A 6,324-nucleotide genomic window follows, 5' to 3' on the forward strand; every position below is an offset into this window, starting at 1 on the left:
AATACCAGGGCATTCTCTCTCAGAAAATGGAGCTCAACAAGAACTGAGGGCAGGCCAGGGCGGGAGTGGGTTGGCAGCTGTATGCTATTCAGCTTTTACCAAGTATTGGGTGAAATGCACGAAATTTAAACGGGAATTCCTGTTTGCTATTTCCCTGCTTGGCTGGAGGAGGTACTGACACAGGTATCAGATAACTGATATTGAAACAAGAATTCACAATTTTTATTGACAACTTGGAAAAGTCAACTGGAGACACACAGTTCTCTTGGAAGCCACTTCCTTTGACCTTCCTGACCCAGTGTCTCCAAAAGCAGGTGAGGATGAGGCTTCTCTTTGTCCAGGTGGGGACACGGTCTCTCCCGCCCCTCCGGCGGCCTTGTAGAAGATAGCCACTAGAGGGCGCCTTTCGCCCAGCCATGGCTCCAAGCGCTAAACCTGCTTCATAGGAGAGCACATTAAGCTGAGAAGGAGGCAAGTCAGTGACGTGGGGAATTATTATGCACAGTTCATTTCCTTATAATTTAACTCTCAGAGTAACAAAAGCATAATGTATAGCCTAGTTTTCGGGTCTGATTTACAACAGTTTAAACTAAAAGATGATTTCTGCCTCACCCACCCCCCTTCTAATCACTTCTGCTATCAGCAACGGAGAATTTTGTATTTCATCACGCGCTGCGTCCTCCTAGGGACACAGATCTGAGAAGAGGAAATTTTAAAACAGGGTTCCTGCAGCAGAGATGGATGCAAATTTTCACTTTCTGCTTCAAATTTCATTATGGCCTTGCTAGTTAAAAAACAAAAGAAGAAACAAAACTTTACGCCTTTATTATGGTTGTTTGGTTAGTATCCCTCACTACTTTTAAACACCCGGAAGTCCAAATGGGGCAAAACAGTTTTGTTCCCAAAGGGCTTATGGAGTCAGTTTCAAACCCAGAGGTAAAAGGAGTGAGCTTGCCGCCCCTCCCCGGCCCGTCTCCCCAGTGGTTCCCTCTGACCCACCCTCCAGCGGCTGACCCTTTTTTTCCTTCTCCCCAGCCCTTCCCTGTAGATTCCAGCCTACTTTGAAGTCTCCTTCCTCCGGCTCCTTGAGCACTTACTGACTCTACCAGCAATTTAGCATTGTGTATCTGCTGTCTCGTTCACTAATTGCTTCATATGTGTATTTTTTCTTCTCCCCAAGGAAAAAGAAATAACATTTTTTTGAGTGCCTACTTTGTCTAAGGCTTTTGGCTAAGGGTATTGCCTGTGATTTCCTTTAATCTTTTAAGCAACCCTATGCCTTAGATGCAATTGATTTCATTTTACAGATGAGGACACTGAGTCAGAGAGGCTAAATCACTTACACAAGGTTACATTACAAATAAAAGTCAGGATTGAAACGCAGGTGCCTCTTGCTGTTATATCATTCTGATACCCACTTTGATGGTAAACAAGGTGAGTGTCTCACCCTTCCACACTTTCAACACCAAGCAGAATGATAGGTTGATATAAAAGGAGAGAAAAAATCATTCACTGAGGTGCTCAAAATTGTTTCCATCTGTTGATTAGGGTTGGCAAGTGAGTAATCAAGTGGCACCCATAAGAGAACAATGGTTTTTTTTAAATAAATATCTGGTGCCTCCCAGAACAACTCTCAGGGCACTGGGCTGCTACAAAAGCATTCGAGCAGGAAGATAAAGCCCCCGAATAAAGTCAGTGAGGAGATGGTCTCTAAAGACCCGGTGGAACCTATAAACCAGGATGCTCGTACTCATCTCTGGTTGACTCTGCACTTTAGGAAGGAAGGGAAATTGGGGGCAGAGGAATGTTGATTCCTAACCTCTGAGACCACACTAGTAAAACATATGGAACCGATAAGGAAATTATCATAGTCCCTAAAGAGTGGTTTTAAGAACTCAGAATTTCATTGCATTTGGGGACTAAAAACACAAAAAAGGAAGCATCTTAGGGTTTCATGTTTATCTTATTTTTGAATTAAATGTTTTTCCAGCTTTATTGAGGTATACTTGACAATAAAAACATATATATTTACAGTATAAAGGTGATGTTTTGGTATATGTATACATTGTTTAATAATCACCACAATCAAACTAATTAACATAGTCATCACCTGGCATACTTACCATTTTTTGTGTGTGGCAAGAACATTTAAGATCTATTAGAAATTTTCAAGTATACATTATTTTTAAACTGAAATTTTATTTTTTTTATTTATTTATTTATTTATTTATTTATTTTTGAGACACAGTCTTGCTCTGTCACCCAGGCTGGAGTGCAGTGGTAAAATCTCAGCTCACTGCTACCTCTGCCTCCCAGGTTCAAGTGATTCTCCTGCCTCAACCTCCCTAGTAGCTGAGATTATAGGCGCCCACAGTCACACCTGGCTAATTTTTGTATTTTCAGTAAAGACGAGGTTCTACCAGTTTGGCCAGGCTGGTCTCGAACTCCTGACCTCAAGTTATCCGCCTGTCCTGACCTCCCAAAGTGCTAGGATTACAGGCTTGAGCCACTGTGCCCGGCCTAGTATACATTATTATTAACTATAGACACCATGCTGTATGACAGATCTCCAGAACTTCTTTATCCTAACTGAAACTTTGTACCCTTTGACCAATGACTCCTCATTTCCTCCCCACCTCCCAACCCCTGGCAACCACCTCCCTGCTTCTATGCGTTTGACTTTTTTAGATGCCACATATAAGTGAGATCCTGCAATATTTTCCTTTCTGTGCTGGCTTATTTCACCTAGCACAGTACCCTGCAGGTTTACCTATGTTGTTATAAATGTCAGAATTTCCCTCTTTTATAAGGCTGAATAGTATTCCACTGTGTGTGTGCACATGTGTGTATCATATTTTCTTTATCCATTCATCTGTTTATAGACACTTAGGTTGAGTCCATACCTTGGCTATTGTGAGTAGTACTGAGATAAACATGGGATTACAGACACATCTCTTTGAAATACTGATTTCGTTTCCTTTAGACTGATACCCAGAAGTGGAATTGCTAGATCATATGGTAGTTCCATTTTCAAAATTTTGAGGAGCCCTTCCATATTGTTTTTCACAATGGCTGTACGAATTTACAGTCCTGCCAACAATGTACAGAGCTTCCCATTTCTCCACTCCCGTGCCAACACTTATCTTTTGTCTTTTTGATAATAGTCATTCTACCTGGTGTTGAGATGATATCTCATTGCATATCAATTTGCATTTCTCTGATGATGAGTGATATTGAGCATTTTTTCATATATGTGTTAACCATTTGTATATCTTCTTTAGAAAAACGTCTATTCAGGTCCTTTACACATTTTAAAATAGGGTTGTTTCAGTCATTTAAGTTCCTTATCTATTGTGGATATTAACTCCTTATCAGATACGTGGTTTTCAAATACTCTTTCCCATTCCATAGGCTGCCTCTTTACTCTGTTGATTGTTTCTCTTGCTGGGCAGAAGCTTTTTAAGTTTCAGGATACAAAATTAATATGTAAAAATTAGTAGCATTTCATATACTATCAATGAACGATCTGAAAATCTAAAAAAAAATCTCATTTGCAATAGTATAAAAACTATTCAGAAATAAATTTAACCAAGGAGGTAAAAGATCTGTACACCGACCAGTATAAGACATTAATGAAGGAAATGAAGAAGACACAAATAAATGGAAAGATATCCTGTGTTCATGGATTGAAAGAACTAATAATGTTAAAATGTTCACATTACCCAATCCGTAGCAATCTACAGATTCAATGCTGTCCCTATCAAAATTCCAATGGCATTTTTCACAGAAATTTTCCTAAAATTCATATGGAACTAAAAGAGACCCCCCAAAGAGCCAAAGCAATCTTGAGCAAAAAGAACAAAGCTGGGAAGCATCACAATACCTGATTTCAAATTATACCACAAAGTTATAGTAAGCAAAATGGCATGGTACCAGCATAAAAATAGACTCATGGACAAATAGAAGAAAATAGAGAGCCGAGAAATCAATCTCTGCATTTATGGCCAATTGATCTTCAACAAGAACACCAATAAGACACAGTAGGGAGATGATAGTTTCTTCAATAAATGTTGTTGGGAAAATCGGATATCCATGAAGAAGAATAAAACTGGAACTTTATCTCACACCATATAGAAAAATCAACTCAAAATTGATTAAAGACTTAGATGTAAGACCTGAAACAATAAACGACCAGAAGAAAAGATAGGGCAAACGCTTCTTGATATTAGTCTGGGCAATGATGTTTTGGATATGACCCCAAAAGCACAGGCAACAAAAGCAAAAATAGACAAGTAGGATAGCATTAAACACATCTTGGGGGTTTTGACTGTTAAGATTGCCAAGAAGCTAACTAATGCCTAACTTTAAGGGTATCCCAAGAGCTGCATGATCACAGCACTCTGCACAGCTTTGACATGAGTCCTTGGATCTTTGTGCCATTTTTGAGTGGAAAGTTCAGGATGGAGGAGAAGGAAAAGTGCTGAGCTTTGAGGACAGAAAATCAGACAAGCTTCGTTTCTGCTTCCGCTTCTGCTTCTTATCTGTTCTGTGACCTTGAGTCTATGACTACACTTCTTTGGGTCAATTTTCTCGTATTTAGAATGGGAATAATGAATAGTACCTACTCCTTAAAGTCAGCATGAGGATGAAATCAAATAAAGCGTGGGCAACATGAATTTAGGAAAAACCTGGGGCTCGGATTTAGCAAGACTGTCATGAAGAAAACCCCTCAGCTTTACCTACCCACTGAGGTAGAGGCCATAGCTTATCAGTTCTAAGACACCATGGGCTGTAAGATATGACATGGCTTTATGCATTACCAAGAATGAAAACCGAAACAAAAACAAAACAACCCTACCAATTAAACTCTGCATTTCATTGATTATAAGATACATCCCAACATTAAAAATGCTCAAATGGGGAAAATTAGCTTAAGAAAAAATTCATTTAAAAGTGAATGAACTGTAGTACTTGCTAAAAAGCTTCTAAGGCGAGCGGGCGCGGTGGCTCACGCCTGTAATCCCAGCACTTTGGGAGGCCGAGGAGGGCGGATCACGAGGTCAGGAGATCCAGACCATCCTGGCTAACATGGTGAAACCCCGTCTCTACTAAAAATACAAAAAAATTAGCCGGGCGTGGTGGCGGGCGCCTGTAGTCCCAGCTACTCTGGAGGCTGAGGCAGGAGAATGGCATGAACCCGGGAGGCGGAGCTTGCAGTGAGCCGAGATTGCGCCACTGCACTCCAGCCTGGGCGAGAGAGCGAGACTCCATCTCAAAAAAAAAAAAAAAAAAAAAAAAAAAAAAAAAAAAAGCCTCTAAGGCAAGTAGCTATGGAGTGGTTTCCACAACAAAGGTTGTAATGAGCACATCTGATCAACTGGGAGGGAAGGATGGGATGAGAGGTTGACAGAGATCGAATTGTAAGCCAGGGACTGGGCATGGGGTGGGGGGCTTTGGGAGCTCCTGCTATAAAGTGTATTTTAAGAGAAGAAAAAGTCAGAATCTGTAATGAACCTGAGGGTCAGAGGGATCTGCTAATTTTAAGAACAGCAACATCGTAGCTGTTTCTTGAATTCACTCTGATCCAATCACTCTAGAGCAATGTGGGCATCCTTAGGAGGAAAGGATACAGGAGAAAAAGAGGAGCAGGCTCACCAACTCAGGGGCTTGGGGCTCAGCCATTTGCAGAGGACCCCCGATCAGGCTAATGCAGGCAAGAGGGTGATGTCTTCCATCTGCTTTCATGCTAGACTGCAGCCGCCAGGGACTCTTGAGGATAGAGAGTGATGATGCTGCAGCCACTCGCTGTCCATCCGCAGGTCCCTAGCAGCAGTGGGCAGGAGCAGTAGAGGTGACTGATGACTGGCACTGCAGAGGCCAGGGTGCTTCAGGGAGCAGCAGCCAGAAGGGCATTCAGGCAGCAGCAGTTGGCAGCCTGAGGCAGCAGAGGGAAGCTGCGGCAGGGCTGATGCCTGAGTGCACAGGTGACACCTTCCGGGGCCTCCCTGCAATACCTGGCAGGAGGAAGAGACCTTGAAAGTAAGCTGGAAATCCTACCTATGCTGATGGGGCGAGGAACCAGAGAGCCCAGAGCGCTTAGGTTAATGGGATCTGATTTATATTCACAAGCGGCTGAGGCTTGGGATCCTTCCTGTAACCTTTTAGACGCCTATTGCTGAGTGAATACTAAGTTCCCTTTTCTTCCCTTCCTATCTCTAGAAGGCTTGTATTTGGGGACCTTATCCTAATTTATCAATGTGATATTAAGACTCAGTCCATCTATGATCATGTTTTTCCTAACCTTTATTAAGCAAAAATAGAGTC

General features: G+C 41.8%; 1 long non-coding RNA gene across 1 annotated transcript; it reads right to left on the bottom strand.

The window, feature by feature from the left end:
- Nucleotides 1–200: 200 nt before the first annotated feature.
- LOC124907966 (uncharacterized) lies at nt 201–6,025 on the bottom strand. Its single transcript, XR_007088054.1, has 2 exons — nt 5,656–6,025; nt 201–438 (listed from the first exon to the last, which is right to left on the bottom strand). It is a non-coding gene; the product is annotated as an uncharacterized LOC124907966 (long non-coding RNA).
- Nucleotides 6,026–6,324: the final 299 nt, after the last annotated feature.

The sequence above is a fragment of the Homo sapiens genome, chromosome 2 (assembly GCF_000001405.40).
Source record: "Homo sapiens chromosome 2, GRCh38.p14 Primary Assembly".
Taxonomy (NCBI): Eukaryota; Metazoa; Chordata; class Mammalia; order Primates; family Hominidae; genus Homo; species Homo sapiens.